Below are 19584 nucleotides of genomic sequence, written 5' to 3' on the forward strand. Positions count from 1 at the left end.
CTGATGTTATGTATAATGTCCTCTCTCTCTTTCCCTTTCAGTCATTTTTACTTCTGTGTTTCTCCTAACCATCTTAGTATTTTCACCAGTTAAAATTTAAATACATCAAAGCCCATGTTGATTTTTTATTTAATAATAAAAAAGAACTAAAAATTCCTATGAAAATATTCTAGGACTGTTGGAAGTGTTTTTTTCTTCAATGTTGCTGAGAAACACAGTCTTTTAAATACTTTTTTCTCAGGAAATATTAAGCCTAGGATACAGAAAGTTCATCTTTTTATGTAAAATCAGAAGTAACTACATATTGAAATCATGTTTCTAAAGCCTAATTTTACTGTGAAGGCAGAGTTATTAGAAGCACTTTTTCCTGCAAGTAGAATTTAAAATGCATAAACATGAGATAGTTTGGACTTTATGGCACAGCAGCAACAAATATATAATTGAGTATTGGGGCTTATTTTTATTGCTCCACACATATCAATTATCTTTCATCCTAGTCTGTAGATAAAGTGGACAGGCAGTATTTAAATTCAGGTCTTTAGATACTGTTGTATCACATGGGGAGTTGCAGACATGTCAAGTACATTGGAAAAATTAAAATCAGATCTGACTACATAAGAATATTCTGAATTAAAAATATTTTCAAATTCACTGAAGAATATATGGTCTTACTAGGAAAAGAAAAATTTTGCAGTTCTTCTCTTATGTACTAATATCATTTCAAGCTGAAATAATCAGAATATATATTGTAAAAATAGTTTTGAAATATTAAAGAAACTGACAGTGTGTAGAAGACTTGAAAACTACTTATGTGTAAGGAGAGTATCAAAGGTCTTTGAATCTTTTATTTTGAGAATATGAAGAAATAAGATGTGCATATTGCACTGGGCTAAAAATAGACTTCATCTCTCAAATGGGCTTCATGGCTAAACCCATTAGGCACCGATCTGATCTGCTCAGTTCTTTTATGACATTGTCCCTAGTCACATATTTTCTTATTCAAAACTCATTGTAAATCTTAAATTGAGAATGACATAAATCAGCTCACTCAGTATCCTGGTAACTAAAGCTGTAATTTTTGACTTCATAAACTCCTTATCCAAACATTGTAACATTAATCCTGACACATTTTGTCACAGATTTGCTGAATTTCCCTTGATTCTGCTTCCCATTTCTTTCCTCAAATACTCTGAAATAATTTTACCTTGTTCCCTCTTCCTTGGTTAGTTTTTATATTCTCATATTAAAAATCAATTTAATTAATGCTTTTTAAAATTTAGCCATATTTATGTTAAACTTTGTAAAATGAGCTCACAAAAATACATGTCCTTAATATTTAAATGTGTATATGAATGACATGAAGTTATATTTTAGGTATACATATTCATATGCACATACATACATACACTGAAAACCTATTTCAAATCCTCTAAAATTAATGAAATTTCATATGGTGGTAGAGTTTAAATCTTTTCCTGTTCTTACATTGGGAATAATAGAAAGTAATATACAACAATTTATATCAATACAAAATGAATGTCCTAAAACTAAAATGAGCTTCTAAAAATTGTGTCATAAAATTAAGTTTAAAGCATTCAAAAATGGCATATATTAAGCGATTCTGTATCTCTACTCCTTACAGTGAATTTGGTTTAAGAAATATAATTACTAGCACTAGCCTGTTTAAATATTATATACCACCTATTAAATATCTTTTATTTTCCCAGGACATTATATTTTGCAACATAAACAGGTATCCTCTATCCCCTGTAATCTTAGAGAAAAGATTATAGAAGATAGCTCTATCTCTATATATGCATATATATGTATATATAAACTAAATATATATAAAACCCATTATGTTTTATAAGGATAAGTCATGCAAGACACAAGTTACTGCTGTGCAGATACAGAAAAAGTTCATAACAAAAACCTAAGTCAAAAATCAAATTAATAATATTAGTTTAATCATTTGGCAATGTATGCATATATCAAAATATCACATTGTATCCCACAAATATGTATAATTGCCCTTTGAGCAACATAGATCTGAACTGCATGGGTCCACTTATACATGGATTTTCTTCTGCCTCTGCCAGCCTAGAGACAGCAAGATCAACCATTCCTCTTCCTTCTCCTCCTGAGCCTATTCAGTCTGAAGACTATGAGAATGAAGACCTTTATGATGATCCACTTCCATTTAATGAATAGCAAATATACTTTCTCTTTCTTATAATTGTTTAATAACATATTTCCTCTCTCTTATTTTGTTATGAAAATACAGTATATTATGTATAATGTATTTATATATGTATGTACATACGTAAGTATATATGCTGTATGTTATATACATATATATAAAATATATGTTAATCAATTGTTCATGTTATCAGTCGAGCTTCTGGTAAATAGCAGGCTACTCATAGTTAAAAGGGGAGTCAAGGTTATTTGCAGATTTTAGTTGGGCTCAGTGGCTCACACCTGTAATCCCAGCACTTTGGGAGCTTGAGGAGGGAGGATCACTTGAGGCCAGGAGTTCAAAAGAAATCTGGGCAATATAGCAAGACCCCAGTCTTCACAAAAAATAAAAAAAGAATTAGCCAGGGGTATTGGCACATGCTTGTATTCCTAGCTACTTGGAATGAAGCTGAGGTGGGAGGATTACTTGAGTTTTGGAGTTCAAAACTGCAGTGAGCCATGACCTCCACTGCACTCAGGCCTGAGCAATAGAGCAAGAGTCTGCCTCTTTAAAAAAAAAAAAAAAAAAAAAAAAAAAAAAAGTTACATGCAGGTTTTTGACTATGTAGAAGATTGGTGCCCCTAATTCCTATATTGTTCAAGTGTCAACTGTAAAATTATTACTTGCCAACTAAAATTTTTTAAAAACAGACTTAGGGAGACTATCAACAAAATTTTTTAAAATAAATAAAAATGGCACACCATACCCACACACACAGAAAATGGATTTTTTTGATAAATGCCAATGTTGTTTTGCTATTTAGTGAAAGACGTTCACTTTAGATGGTGGTGCTAGGGTGTGGCTCAGGAAAGAATTATTTATGGGGTCTTTAAAGTGTGCTTTAGGAGAAGACATGGGAATTATTCTATACTCATATAGCTTCTGTTGAGGAGAAAAGTATACAGAAGTCAGCATTAAGCAGTTAATGAAAGTCATAAATAAAATTGAGCAGCACTTTCTCTTTCCAAGTATTATTCTAATTTATTTTTATCTCTATTTACCTATCATCAATCTTATCTATTATCTGTCTATTTATCTATCTATCTACCTATCTGTCTGTCTGTCTGCCTGTCTGACTGTCTGTCTATCATTTAATCTCACAGCTTATTTAGAAAAGTGTTCATATAGCTATCATTTAGTAGTTAAAGGTGATGAGGCACAGATAAGTTCTGCAACATACCTAAGTTTCTTGCAGAGCAAATGGAAAGCTAGAATTGGATTCATGATTCTAGATGAGAATCTGAATTATTAACAATTATTGTTTAGAAGATTATTAACCACTTAAACACCACACACACACACACGCACAGAAGTACGGTATATTTGCATGCACGTTAATCTATTTGAAACTGCATCTGTTTCTTTTTATTTTTCTACCCCCCTTGTGAGATTTATTTTGGATCTCTACATTGGTAATCATTTGTATGAAGTAGATGTCAACAACTTAGTTTTGCTATCACTCAGTCTATTTTCTGTTTCTCCTTAACAGTAACCATCTGTTACCTTTATTAAATATCATATGATTAGATGCTTGAAATTTTGGCTGCATAAAGTTTAAGCATATATTAGCCAGGAGAGTGTTGATTGCAAGTGATGGAAACTAACTTCAATCTAGTTTAGAAAATAAGGAGACTGTTTTGCATTACAGAGTCTGAGAAGGAGAAACACACAAAGGCAGAGAAACTACTGAGTTTTGGGAATAACTAGAGTGTTGGGAAGACAAGACAGCCTCTATCTTTGTCTGTCTCTCCCACTTCCTCTCCCCCTCCTTGTATCTGTATCTTTAAAGCCTGTCAATTTTGTTTCTCCACAGGGTTTGCTATGGTCTGAATATTTGTGTTCAAAATTCATTGTTGAAATCCTACCTTGCCAAGGTGATATCAGGATGTTACTTGGGAGGTGATTAGGTCATGAGAGGCAAGACTCTATAAACGGGATTCTTTTTTTTTTTTTTTTTTTTTCACAGAGTCTCACTCTGTCTTCCTGGCTGAAGTGCAGTGGCATGATCTTGGCCCACTGCAACCTCTGTCTCCTAGGTTCAAAGTGATTCAAGCGATTCTCCTGCCTCAACCTCCAGAATAGCCAGGACTACAGGTGCGTGACACAACACCTGGCTAATTTTTGTATTTTTTTTTTAGTAGAGACAGGGTTTCACCATGTTGGCCAGGATGGTCTCAAACTCCTGACCTCAAGTGATGCACCTGCCTGGGCCTTCAAAAGTGCTGGGATCACAGGCGTGAGCCCTGGCGCCCAGCCCATGAATGGGATTCTTAAGAAATCCCAGAGAGTTAACAAGCGTCTTCTACCATGTGAGGACACATTGAAAAGGCACCTTCCTGTGAACCAAGAAATAGCCTCTCACCAGACACAGAATCTGCCATTTCCTTGATCTTAGACTTCTCTGAAACTGTTAGGAATAAATTTCTGGGTAGTTTATAATATTTTGTTATAACAACCCAAACGGACTAAGAGTTTTTCCACATAATGGGAAAAATAGGCACAGACACTCTAAGAACGTCATATCCCATGCTTTCTGCCATCAGATGATTTAGTTTTTGGTCCCAGCTCCCAATTTTACAACCCCAGAAAAGAATAATAATTGGTTCTTGATAACTAGCCCCCTCAGTGCCAGTGACCTATGGCCAAAGAGTAGATTATTTAATGTTTCCATTTCCACTGGAGCAGTTTGAATTTTAAAAAAAGGAGCAGCTCCCAAATGAAGGAGGAAGGAAGACAAGAGAAGGAATGTAATGCTAGTCAGACAGAATTAAATAAATAAAATAAATATAATTGATGAACTACAAAGCAATAAATGAAAGAACACTAGATAAATGTTTATTCTTTGTTTGTTTAAAAAGAGCAGGCCAGTGGATTTCTATGTTAATCAAGATAATAAATCACTACCATTATAGACCTTTTACAACAACTTAGAGATACCCTTTGTTAATTTTAATAAACAGATTATCTTGGTAGTCTAATTGCTAATAATTTTATTCTACATTTATAATATATATTAGCATTATACAAGTTGTTCTAATACTTATGAAGACTCATGTTGTATAAAATAAATCAATGCTGGATACAGGAGTGATGAGAACATGATTTCACTATTTTTCACAGAAATCTCCCCACTCAGGACAGAAGTAGATGATGTTGAACTTCCTGTGCTTTTTTCTCTATCCATTGCTATGTCGAGAAGATTATGGATTTCCTAGGCAAGACCTTTAACATTTTGTACAGGTTTCTATTTTCTTTTCACTTAATTGGTTGAGGATAACATAAGATGTTAAACTGAAATTACAATTAAAATAAATGTATGAATGAAAGTACTAATCATCTAGCTTTCTTCCACTAGCACGCACACAAAAAAGTAGAATATTCTAAAACATTTGTTTTGTCTGAAGGTCAAGTTTTGATAATTTCAGGAAATTCAGGAGTAAGTGTCAGAGATAATCACACACACACACGCAAATTGATTGGACAGTATTAGCTTTAATTAATGAAAGACAGGATAGATATGAAAAATATATTTTAAAGTATGGGAAATAACAAATAGACAGAGGAAATACCCCAATATAATGGTATTTGCATTTTATGTATATATAAGTGGGTTAGACTCTCTTATCAAAAAATAGATTCACAGATTAAAAGAAAGCTTTTAAAACAGACCCAGTAACATGTACTATAAAAGAAATATATAATGGTGAAAAGGGGTGAAAATAAAAAAACAGAAAAATACACCCAAGGCAATTATGAGTCACAAGACAATGTTGGTACAATGTTTACATATTTTCAAATAAAATTTAAGGCAAAACATTACAGAGTATAAAAATATTATATAATAATAAAATATAAATCTTAATGGAATGTCATCATAATTATATGCAAATAAATGTTGGGTTATGTTTATATGCAAATAGAACTTCAAACAATAAATAAAGCAACAACTTACAGGACCAAAGAGAGAAATAGGTAAATCAACATTTTTATTTAGATTTTAAAATTGCATTTTTGTCAGAAGCTGAAATATGCAGAAAAAATATTAAATAAAATTATTCTAGATTTAATATCACAATTAATGTCCTCATTGCATGCATATACTTTATGTGTGTGTATGTATGTACATTTTACACTTGATTACCAGTACACATGGAGCATTAGTAAAAATTGATATTAGTCTTAATAAACTTAATAAACTTTAACATTTTAAAACAACACAGAACTCGTATTCCAAATAAACTTAAAATCGAAAAGAATAACTAGAAAAAAACTACATACTTTGAAAACTAATCAATAAACTCTGTATTAAATAATAAATCAGGAGGATAATTATAAAATAGAAATGTATTATAATGAAAATACTCAAACCTAAATGCATGGAATAGAGCTGAAAATATTTAAAAATATATTTGTACCTTTTTTTGAAGAAATAACAAAATAACTGAACACAAATGAATATTTAAGTCGAGAAGACAAGAAAAGTGCAAAAAAGAAAGCCAGAAGAGTAAAGGAAGGAAATAATAAAAATAAACAGAAATTAATTAAATATACATTTTTAAAGAAGCCAAAAAGGCAAATCTTTGAAAATATCAACTACAGAAAATCTTATTCTCTGGAAAAGAATCAAATATAAGAAGTGAGAAGATGAAAATGAAGTAAAACTAAAATAAGAATATAATTCAGACAATTAAGATTAAGTATATTATGAACTATATATTAATATTACATATCAGTGAATTTTGAATCATAGATGAAAGGATTATTGGAATCATTGTAAAATGCTAAATTTGAAGAAGTGAAAATGAGTAGACCAATATTCTTAAATTAACTGAAATGGTAGAAAAAAACAGAAAATAGCATGAAGAAATTTATGTTTTATAAGGATGCACACATTTAAGACCTTATATTTGATGTATACGTATATCATATGAGAGTGGGCGCTATGGAGAGAGAAAATAGTAGTAAAGAGTAAAAATCGGGGAGAAAAAATACAATACAATGCAAAGAGAAATATAATGATACAGATTCTTAGATAAACTGATGACAACAATGTCCCATTTACTGGAGAGTAAAATAAAATAAGAAATAAATATTGTATCAATGACAGTATGTTTTTTTTTTTTTTGAGACAGAGTCTCTCTCAATGACAGTACGTTTTACACAGCTTTATGTAACAAACAAACTAAGTTAACACCCACAACTTTTACCATCCCTATAAAAAATATTCCAGGGACAGCAACTATAGATTCATTAACTGCTTACACTTATTGCAATTTTAAATGCAATATAAAGTATCATACCTGAATAAACAAGTAAATGCCAAAAGTATCATAATATTATTGGTTATTGTGACAGAGTAAATTTTACATCTGCCTTACTCTGGAAACTTTTTAGTTTGATCAGTTTTAGTTATGAAACCTTTATATAATGACTCATAAATAATTTATAAGTTATCTCTATTCTGGGAAAATAGTGCAAAGAAAAATGTCTGTATTTATTTGGCTGTTTGCAGTATAAACAAGGACTAAAACTAAGGAGTGAGATGCCCCAGGTTTTCTGCATGTAGGTGTTCAAGGTTAGATCAAATGTGTTTTCTGACTTCCCCTTTCTCTACTTTGTTATAAACTCACATAGCTAGAAATCAGTTTCTGTCACCTAAAATATAAGGTCTGTATTTATGCATCATGTTCCATAAACATAAGGCAAATAGTCCCAATAAAACAAACTATTATTGTAAAGGAGGGAATGTAAATATTCTACTGTTGTCTACTTCTCTAGAAGCATTGGAACAAACCTCTTAAAACTAATTCAATAACTGAGTTTTCATTGAATTTAATTAAAGGCATTCTATATTGATTTTAAAAGCAAGATTTCTGATCCACCAAGATGGTTTGTTGTTATCTTATCAAACCATCTACACTCATATATTTGCCAAATCATAGCACGATAAAAGCTCTTACCCATCCTAAATGATGAAGTGTTGCAATAACTTTGTAAATGAAGGTACTCTAGTCAATAAGCACCTTGTGATTGATTGTTATAAGATTAATTATTATTTCTAAACCATTCATACTCAGTTCTAAACCCCTCATACATCACGTTAGACTATATATAAAATTACAAGTCCTATTTTTATCAAATTGAATCAACAAATCCTACTCAAGCTTTCTTGGTAATGCCTGATTTAATGCTTTCATTAAGAGTTATTTTAGAAACTTTCTCATTTGTTTACTTTTTTTGTAATTTACTTCCAGAGGAGGGAATTTGCTTGACATATTTCCAATGTTGTTACAACAAGGTACATAAATCAAAAATAATACAAAAAATAATAATCCTGCCAAAAAATTGGTACAATTTTCTTTCTACAGAGCCAAATAGTCAGAATGCTACATTCCTAGATCATAACACTCTGTAAATCTCTACCAAGTACATCCCTAAAGCACAACAGACACATATACAGCACTACACATATACAACCCACACACATATACAACCCATACAACACACATACAACCCAGACAACCACATACAGCCTGAAATGGTTTGATGTTGTGTTTTCTCTAAAATTTATATTAAAATTTAATCCCCAATGCAACAGTTGTAAGAGGCGGAGCCTTTAGAAGGTGAGCAGGCCATGAAGGCTCTGCCCTCATGAATGGGATCTGTCCCTTATAAAAGGGCTGGAGAGAATGAGGTAGGCCCTTTTTGCCCTTTTGCCTTTCTGCCCATTCCGCCATATGAGGATAAGGCATTCATCTTCTCCAGATGGTGCACCATTTGGAAGCAGAGATTAAGCCTTCATCAGACACTAAACTTGACACTCTCTTCATCTTGAACTTCCCAACCTTCAGAACTGTGATAAACAAATTTCTATTGTTTACAAATTACCTAGCCTGTAGTATTCTGTAATAGTAGCCCAACAAGACTAAGACATTGCTCATTTCTTCCACAGAGTCATCTGTTCTCAAGCCATTTCCCTTGCCTGGCATATTTTTCCCCTTCTTGCTTGTTTTGATTTAATGATTTTGTTAACAAGCCAAAAAAAAAAAAAAAAGAGAGAGAGAAAATAGAAAATGACTGACTGAATGAAATGGAACAGGAGTTTTTAACCTGAACTCATATAAAATGCATACTTCTATTCCCTAGGCTAAAGTAGTTGTTTAATCTTTTATGTATTCATGGTAGGTAGAAAACTGAGGATGGGGCCACAAACTGAGGATGGGGCCTATAGAGGCTGAGAAAGGCAAGGAAACAGTCTTTCTGAAGCCTGCAGTTCTGTTGTCAACTTGATTTTAGAACTTCTGACCTCCAGAACTGTAAGGTAGTAAACCTGTATTGTTCAAAGCCACAATATTTCTGGTAAGTTATTATAGCAGCAATAGGCAGGAAAGTAAAACAGTATCCATGAACTCCTTTTACATTCTTCAGAAATATGTCTGCTTATTTCCCTTCACCATAAGATTTTCAAGAGCATCAGTCTTCCTACACCTGTTGATATGGTTTTGTTGTGTCCCCACCCAAATCTCATCTTGAGTTGTAATAATCCCCATGTATCAAGAGTGGGGCCAATTGGAGATAACTGAAACATGGGGACAATTTCCCCCATACTGTTTTCATGATAGTGAATAAGTCTCACAAGATCTGATGGTTTTATAAATGGCAGTTCCCCTGCACAAGCCCTCTTGCCTGCTGCCATGTAAGATGTGCCTTTGCTTCTCCTTTGCCTTCCACCATGATTATGAGGCCTCCTCAGCCATGTGGAAGTGTGAGTCCATTAAACCTCTTTCCTTTATAAATTACCCAGTCTTGGGTATGTCTTTATTAGCAGCGTGAGAACAGATTAATACACCTGTAAATTAGAATTTCAGTGTGGATCAAGCTTTCCTCAAAAAGAGATTTTACAATGTAAGCTAGATCTTGTTTCCACCTACTTATTATTTGTTTTAAATTTTACTCTGTCTTTGCAGATATAGCATGTAAATTTATATTAATTTCTAATGTATATTCTAGAATTATTTTGGAACTATCAAAGCTATTATAAACAAATGAATTTCTTAACTAGAAAACAGAATAACACATGGTCCAGCTCAACAAAGTCACATGCAAAAAACAGATGTGGGCCTGGGCATGGTGGATCACACCTGGAATCCCTGTACTTTGGGAGGCCAAGGGAGGTGGATAGCTTGAGTCCAAAAGTTGAACACAGCCTGGGCAACATGGCAAAACCCCATCTCTACAAAAAACACAAAAAAATAGCTGGGCATGGTGGCACAATATCATAGTCCCAGCTACTTCAGAGGCTGAGATGGGAGGGCTGCGTGAGCCCAGAAAGTGAAGGTTGTGGTGAACTATGGTCATGCCACTGCACCCCAGCCTGGGCAACAGAGCAAGAGCCTGTCTCCAAAACAAAAACAGAAGAAAACCAAATGTGACTCCGAGTATCTTGAAGAAATATAAAGACTATCCCTATTGATTAATTAGGAAGGTAATCCTGGCAACATCATATAGACACCTTTATATTACAAACTTACAGAGTTTATTCATAAACACTAATCTGGTCCTTGCATGTTCCCCCTCAGGATAGCTGCTAAAATTTCACCAAACCTTTTCTTTTTTTTAAATGATATCTCTTTAAAATTATTTTAAATTGATCTGTAATATATATACATATTTTCAGGGTACATGTGATTTGATACACTCATATAATCAAATGAAGGTAAATGGAATATCCAACACCTTAAATATCTATATTTTATTGATGTTAGGAACACTTGAATTTTGCTCTTCTGGCTATTTTGAAATGTTAACTATAGTCACCCTACTGCTCTATCTAACACCAGGACTTATTCCTTCCACCTAATGCATATTGGTACCCATTCATCAACCTCTCTTTATCTGCTCTGATATGGTTTGGCTCTACGTCCCCACCCAAATCTCATATTGAATTGTAATTCCAATGTGCTGGGGGAGTGACCCGGTGGGAGGTGACTGAGTCCTGGGGGCAAGACTTCTCCCTTGTTATTCTCATGATAGAGCTCTCAGGAGATCTGGCTGTTTGATAAATGTGTGGTGCTTTCCCCCGCTTTCCCCTTGCCTCTCCTGCCACCTTGTGAAGGAGGTGCTTGCTTCTCCTTCCACCATGATTGTAAGTTTCCTGAGGACTTCCCAGCCATGCAGAACTGTGAGTCAATTAAACATATTTTCTTTAAAAATTACCCAGTCTCAGGTAGTTCTTTACAGCAGTGAATCTACTCTCTGTCTTCACCCAATGTTTTCTACTCACTTGACTTTCTTTACTTACTCTCATCCCAGTTCCAGCCTGTCTCCAGACCCAAAGAGAGTTCATCACCCCTTGACTGAATAGAGCCTCTGGACTTCAGCTTCCAGTGGTTAGCAGCACCACCTCACTCCAGGAGAGCTGCAGGACCAGGCAGCTCTGTGCTCCCTTCTGTGTTTTATCTGATGGCATTTAAAAATTACATAAGATAATAATAGAGAATAATATCCTCACCCCATTAATGTGTCACACAACAATATTTTGGTCAACAACAGACCGCATATACACTGTGGTCCCATAAGATTATAATGGATCTGAAAAAATTCCTGTTGCTTAGTGATGTCTTAATGACCCTGTGTAGGCCCAGGCTAACAAGTGTGTTTTGGTCTTACTTTTTAACAAAAAAATGTTAACGGCAAAAAACAATCAAAATAAAAAATAAATAAATAAATAGAAAAAAACTTCTAGAATAAAGATATACAGAAGGAAAATATTTTTGTGTACAACGTCTTTGTGCTTTTGTTGCCTGTTTAGGGTAGTTGTCCAGGTTCTTGGCGTTTTTAACAGAGAATTGAACAAAACACACAAACAAAGCAAGGCAGTGAAGGCAGGGATTTAAACAAAGTACACTCCATAGGGAAGGAAAGGCCTTGAGCAAGCAGCTCAAGAGCATTGATTACAGAATTTTCTGGGGTTTAAATACCCTCTATAGGTTTCCCACTGGTTCATTCTGCGCAAATCAGTCTGATTGGTTGCAGGAGGGAACCGGTTGGAGGTACTTTCATTTTCAACTGCCACACAGAAAAAGGAGGGGTTGCAACTGCCACATAGCAACTGACACGCCGAAAAAGGAGGCGTTGCAACTGCCACACAGAAAAAGGAGGGGTTGCAACTGCCACGCAGCAACTGCCACGCAGAAAAAGGAGGGGTTGCAACTGCCACGCAGCAACTGCCACGCAGAAAAACGAGGGGTTGCAACTGCCACGCAGCAACTGCCACACAGAAGAAGGAGGGACTGCAACTGCCATGCAGCAACTGCCACACAGAAAAAGGAGGGGTTGCAACTGCCACGCAGAAAAAGGAGGGGTTGCAACTGCCACGCAGCAACTGCCACGCAGAAAAAGGAGGGGTTGAAAAGGGAGTAGCTTCTGATATTCAGTAAGTACGAATCGGCCTTAGGTTCCCTGCCTCAAGACCCTATTCTCCTGCCTCACTTTTAGCTAAGGGTTATTACAAAAGAGTCAGAAAGTTAAGACAAAATATGAAAGTTTATAAAGTAAAAAGAGTTACAGTGAGCTAAGTATAACTTATTGAAAACATTTTTTTAATTTAGTATAGCCTAACTGTGTTTATACAGTCTACAGTAGTATACAGTAATATCCTAGACCTCCACATTCCCTCGCCACTCACTCACTCACTCACCGACTCACTCAGAGCAACATCCAGTCCTGGAAGCTCCATTCACAGTAAGTACCTTATACAGGTATACCATTTTTACATCTTGTATAGTGTATTTCTACTGTGCCTTTTCTATATTTAAATTTATTTAAATACACAAATATTACGTGTTAAAATTGCCTATAGGATTCAGCACGGTAACGTGCTGTACAGACTTGTAGCTAAGTAGCAATAGGCTCTGCCATATAGAAGGTGCAGTAGGGTATACCATCTAGGTTTGTGTAAGTACACTCCTTGATGTTGGTACAACAATGAAATCACCTAGCTGTGCATTTCTCAGAATGTATCCCCACTGTCAAGTGATACATGACTGTATATTAATATGAAGATGAAACCTAGCTATGTAAAGAGATTTTTTTACATGTGCATTTTTCTTCATCTGTTCCCAAAGCTCCCCTAAAATGCAGTGAAGATATTTTTTAAATTATAAACCCACTAACACAAAGAAAAGAACAATAGCAATAACATTTTAAATCTAGAAAAAAAGGAAAATTTCTTAGTGGTTGACAGAAACTTAAATCCTAGGCCAGTTTTGGGAAAATTAGAAAAAAATCAAAGGAACATAATATATAACTCAAAACCTGCAAATTGCTCAGAATTCAAGAAGTCAGATATTTCTGGAAATAGGAGAGATGGTGGATCTAAAAAGAAATTTGATTGATGTTTGTTTAAGAAATAAACTAACATTCATAATGATTTTAGAAAAGATGAAATGAATGATGTGGGGACATCTGAGTAATATAAGAAAATTAGATTCATAAGTTAGAAAATATAAGAAGTTGAATTCATAAGTTACAGCTAATAGCAGATAAACTCCAAGCAAATAAATATTTCAATGTAAAAGTAGACTTATAAAAGCAATGAAATAGAAAAATATTTCATAGCAGTGGTGAAGAAGACCACTTTATGACACAAAATTCAAAACTCATAAAATATGCATTAAGTATGAATACATAAAGTTTTTTAATTGCATAAGGAAATAAAAATACCATAAATAAAATCAGAAGACAAAGGACAAATAGGAAAAAATGTAAACGACATCATGAACAAAAATTAATTTACCCAATGCATATTTTTAAAAAACTAAACACTGATTAATAACTAAATAGAAAATAAAATTTGGTGAAAGACATGAACAATTTGTAGAATAATCAAGAAACATAGAATATGATACAAAAATTTCTCGATATAAAATAGTTTTCATTCATCATAAGAGAAATTTTGTTTATTAAAGATATGCCTAGATGTCATTATTTTTCTGCCTCTTAAATTGACAAAATCAAAAGCTTAATATGGTATGCAGCTTTGGAACTATCTCTCAAAATTGCAAATGTATATAACATTTGACCTAGAAATTGCACTATTGAGAATTTTCCTACAGCATATTTGCCCATGCATTAAACAGCTTAAAAGCAGGGTTATTTATTGCAATATTATTTTCAGAACAAGAGATGAGAGTTAATCAAGTGTTCATGAAGAGAGGACTCATTAAGTAAATGATTGTATATAAAAAAGAAATTTCCTATGTACTGACACCAAAAAAGACATGCAAATTTCATTAAGTGCAAAAAGCAAGAAAGCAGTCTCCCTTCTGTGTATAAAAGGAGAAACATGCATTTTAATTTGTATAAAAATCTCTGCAGAATTTATAAAATCACCTATTTTGAGAGTTGAAGACTGGATACATGTGGGAGAAGTGAAGAAGTAATGACTTTTTATGGTAAAACATTCTGTATTGTTAATTTTCTAAAATGAATATATATATATAAAAAAATTATCCAAAAGAATGGAAGAAAGGAATCATCAGGAAACCAGTAAGAGATATTTGAAAGGTATGTATGCATGTACATGGCCTCTCACACATACACCCACGTCAAACAAATAAATACATACCCTCACCCACATCAAGGAAATAAATTATACAAATACATATATTTTTAAATATCAAAAATAAAAAAACAAGTGAAGCAACAAAATATGAGAGGTATAAGATGGAAAATAAAAAATCATCAAATATTTCAAGACATCATCCTAAAAGCATTCCAGATGGAAAATTCTCTTAAAGCACCCAACACAATGTGAATGAAAATATATCCATCTCAAGGCATATTATCCTCAAATTTCAGAATACTGTGAAAATTATATGCTTCCTAAAAGAATGAAAAACAAAATAAAAAGTAAACCGGTATTATTGAGGGGATACATAATAAGAAAGACATTGGATTTATTAAAAATGACACCAAAGGTAGGATAAAAATTGTTTAAATGCCTTTTAATTTTGTGAGGAATCTAGAATTCTATACCTAGCCATGTTTTCAATTAAATGTGAGGGTGGAGTAGGGACATTTTCAAACCTTACAACATTTTCTCTCTTGCACATTTTCTCAGGAAGCTATTGGAAGAGATGCTCAAAGAAGAAAAAATTACCATAATCCAATAAAGAAGAAGACCTGAGATCCAGGAAGCAGATGATCTGAACTGCAGAGAAAGTTCAGGAAAGTTCCCTCATTCATGATGATGGGAAATAACAGTAAATTCTGTACAGCAGTCTTGGACAACAACCAATCTAAACTGGCACAGTGCAGAGGCAATCAACAGAGAACATAATATTGATAGAATGCCTGACGCTTTTGATTGTATTCACAGGAAACATAAACAATTGGAAGACAGTTTATGAATGAATTAGTGATAAGCATTTTTTTTCAACTTTTATTTTAGATTCAAGGGTACATGTGCAGGTTTGGTGCCTGGGTATACTGGGTGATGCTGAGGTTTGTGTTACAAATGATCCCATCATCCAGGTACTGAGCATGGTATCCAGTAGTTAGTTTTTAACCCTTCTCCTGTCTCTCTCCTGGTGGTCCCCAGTTTCTACTGTTGCCATCTTTATGTCCATGAGTATACAATGTTTAGCTCCCACTTGTGAGAACATGCGTATTTGCCTATTTAATTATTTGTTTATTTGTTGAGACATAGTTTCACTCTCTAGCCCGATCTTGGCTCACTGCAACCTACGCTTCCTGTGTTCAAGCGATTCTCTTGCCTCGGCCTCCCCAGTAGCTGAGATTACAGGCACCTACTACCATGCCTGACTAATTTTTGTATTTTAATAGAGATAGGGTTGCACCCTGTTGGCCAGGCTGGTTTCAAATTCCTGATCTCAAGCGATCCACTCACCTTGGCCTCCCAAACGGCTGGGATTACAGGCTTGAGCCACCACGCCCAGCCACTATTTGCTTTTCTATTCCTGCATTAATTTGCTTAGGATAATAGCCCTCAACTTCATCCATTTTGCTGCAAAGAAAATAATTTTGTTCTTTTTTAGGGCTGCATAGTATTCCATGGTGTATATGTACCACATTTGTTTTATTTAATCCACTGTTGATGGACACCTGGGTTTATTCTATGCCTTTGCTACTACAAATAGGGCTGTGATGAACATGCAAAGGCATGTGTCTCCTTGAGATAAATATTTTAAAAATACAATAAAATCAAAAAAATTAATGTCAGGGCTAACATACAGTTATTAGAAAAAAAAATATTTTGTTATTATAGATAGACACTAGCTTTAACATAATAATAGTTATGTAAGTAGTCGAAGTTCATATGATCAAAATTATTATTTAGCTGTTTTAAAAGAATGCAGATATAAGAGATATACCATTAATGGTGAATAGTTCCAGTAAAAGCAAGCTAAGCTCTCTTTCACATTCCATAGAGGGAATTTAATAAGCCCTGAAACCGAAAGTTCAAGAAGGAAAAGTGCAAGTCCTACATGAATTGATCAATGATTGCCTCTGGAAATTATTGGTGTGAATGGGGAGGCAAAATTGCTAGTTTGGTTAATAAGCTATGTAACTGTTTGATAATTCTTCACTTGCATGTAAACTTCGGTACAAATAAAAGCTAATGAAAACAGAGACAGAATTATTAAATCATCATAACATAAAGTTAACATTTTTCATCATTTTTCACTTGTTCAAAGATCATAAGAAATTTTCATCTTAATTTTCAAGCATCAACTAATGTTTCTACTCTCCCTGAGTACCATAAAAAGCCTTCTGTGGACAGTCTAAGTGACAATGACACATTAGATTTGGCAAAAATTACTTTCAGATGTAAATCAATTTGAGAATGAACTGATGCTCTGAAACCGGAATTTACTTGTTGCTCAAATTTGCCCCAAAATAAAATAATTTTCAATCATAGGAGAATTCACAGGGCCCAGCTCTCCATTGGTGTTCCAATCTATTCTCTGACCTCTATGCTGTACACAAGAATCCTCAATGGTTTTTCTGGAACCCAAGACAGAAATAATATCCCAAATGATGCTTGCTCTAAGAGTATCACTCACCCAGGGGGTTTACCCCCTGCAACTTTCCCTTTTACCAGTTTTGCTACAGATTTTTATGAACTTAGTTCCCCAGTCACCAGGGCCACAGATGTTTGAAATACTTTTCTGTCTTTTTTTTTAAGTGATAAACAACTGAATTCCTATTCACTTTTACTCCACGAGTGACTTTACAATACATTAAAAAAAGATAAACTGTCAGTATTCTTTTCTTTAAAAACTGTAAAATGCCTTTCCACTTATTTCTTATACTATGTTGTCTCTCAGATAATACATTGATGCAATTTTGGATAATGTTTTAATGAAGAAGTTGACAGTAATGCACATTAATTAAAATATGTAAAAATCTATATTCATAACACGACTTTGAATTTTAAATGTTTTCAGTGAAAACATGTCATATTGTAGACATGCTGAGAAAATTCTACATATTTATTTATCCAGTCCTCATCCAACAGATATCCCAATGGCAATAGAATGCAATTTGTGAAAAGGTTTATAAAATAAGTGGGTTTAACTGAAATTCAACTTTCATTAACTGTTGATTGAGCACTCTGTCACTATTTTAAGTATTAGAAATACAGTAGTAAACAAATTCTACCTAATTCTTGACCTCAGGTACTTTCCATTTCACTGGTATTACTTGATATTTTTAAAGATTACACATATAGGTCAATAGATCTCCATGAAACATAAAAATAGTAAAAAGAAGGAGAAAAAAGAGGAAAGGGAAGGGAAATAAAGTATACAAGTCATGCATTATCTGTTCTAGTCAACACAATAATTCATTTTCTATTGTTTTGACATCTGGGTGGTGGGGGGAACCCACAACTCGCATCCTTCATTGACTATGTTTGCAAAGTTTGGAGAGAAAATTTGCAGGGTCCCATTTTAGATGGCTAAGTCTGAGATGCCAATTAGACATGCCACAGGAGATGTAGAATAAGAGCTGAATATTTCAGTCTAGAATTCAGTAAAGGATTTCAACTGAAGATCAAATGTGGAAGTCATCAGCCTATAGATGATAAAGCACATAGCAATTCCGACATAGATTATAATGAAATTTATAAATCTGAACACCACTGATTTCTCAATCCCCCTTCATCCTCTTCCTTTTTCTCTCCTTTGTCTCCTCTTCCTCCTTTTTCCTTATTTCTTTCTCCTCCTCATTCTCCTTACACTCTTTCTTCTCCTCCTCCTCCTCCTCCTCCTCCTGCTCTGCTTGGTGAGCAGATGGGACTGAGTTAAATTACAAGCATTTTCTTTGTTTCTCTATCCTTTTCTTTATGGCACTTTAGTAAATGAGGCCTTGCTCCCCTCCCATAGGTATATGTGTATTGCTTATACTGTCGGCTTTGAAATATTACTAATAAGCTCTACTCACCTTGCTTGCAGTCCATTTTAGATTTTTGAATGTCACCAACTATATCCTCTGTTTTTACCCACCTACCAAAACTTAAATAGAAGCACATATTGTTTTATTTCTTCAGAGACTGTCCAATCTAAGGGTAAACTAGGCCAATCCATAAAGATGGGTACAGATTTGAGACTCATGGACAGAGAGGACTTAGATTTGACTCATTGCTTTCACTTTGTGAAAGCCAATTCAAAGTGTCTACAGTTAAGAATAAAAAGAGAGGGCACACTGTCCCTCCATGGCCCTGATTTTTCCTCTGTGAGGCATGCCAGTAATTAGATGGTCTCCATATATGGCATACAAGGAGAATTTGGTAAAATCAGAAGAGGCTGGAAATTTTGGACGCTTTAAATTCAGATACTGAAGCATGTCGGCATTCAAAGACTCACCCTGTTACCATAGAAATAAATCCTTGTCTTACCAGTTACACATTTCTTTACTTAATTCTAACTGAACCATTAGGTTTATTGAATTTTTAGTACAAAAAGCTCACCATAGCCTACTGTGTAGTAGAGATCAATTTACATTTTACTGAAGATTTCTAGAAGAGACCATGGAAGGGTATTACTATACACAACATACAACTTCGCACAATGTCTCTCTTCTCAAGCTCCTGCTGCCATGTAACTCATAATGTCCCTTCCCGATTCACTGGCAATTTTTCCCATTTGCTACATAGAGTTGTTTAGGCTGTGCCCCACATCCATCTCACCACTCATCAAAGAGCTTTTCAGAGTATAACATCATGACAAAAGTGTCTGGGATAACAAATGATAGATAATATCTCCTGTAACTCAGTTGTTCAAAAAAAAATCACTGAGAGATGATAGTATGGATATACA

At 34.1% G+C, this 19584-nt stretch overlaps 2 long non-coding RNA genes across 4 annotated transcripts in view; one reads left to right on the forward strand and one right to left on the reverse strand.

Annotated features, from left to right (window-relative positions):
- LOC105374438 (uncharacterized) overlaps window positions 1-12687 on the reverse strand; it is a 37090-nt gene extending 24403 nt beyond the window's left edge. The window contains exons 1-2 of one of the 2 annotated variants that reach the window (NR_188377.1): window positions 12220-12687; window positions 11541-11698 (exon numbers count right to left, since the gene is read on the reverse strand). This is a non-coding gene — a long non-coding RNA (uncharacterized LOC105374438). Of the gene's footprint in view, window positions 1-11540 lie in introns of both variants that reach the window. The other variant, NR_188376.1, reaches the window with a different exon arrangement.
- LINC02475 (long intergenic non-protein coding RNA 2475) lies at window positions 12473-17673 on the forward strand. 2 transcript variants are annotated; one of them, NR_131959.1, is made up of 2 exons: window positions 12473-12674; window positions 15363-17673. It is a non-coding gene; the product is annotated as a long intergenic non-protein coding RNA 2475 (long non-coding RNA). The 2 variants fall into 2 exon arrangements; NR_131958.1 differs by having other exon boundaries at window positions 12674-12982.
- Window positions 17674-19584: the final 1911 nt, after the last annotated feature.

This window comes from Homo sapiens, chromosome 4, assembly GCF_000001405.40.
Source record: "Homo sapiens chromosome 4, GRCh38.p14 Primary Assembly".
NCBI classification, from domain to species: domain Eukaryota; kingdom Metazoa; phylum Chordata; class Mammalia; order Primates; family Hominidae; genus Homo; species Homo sapiens.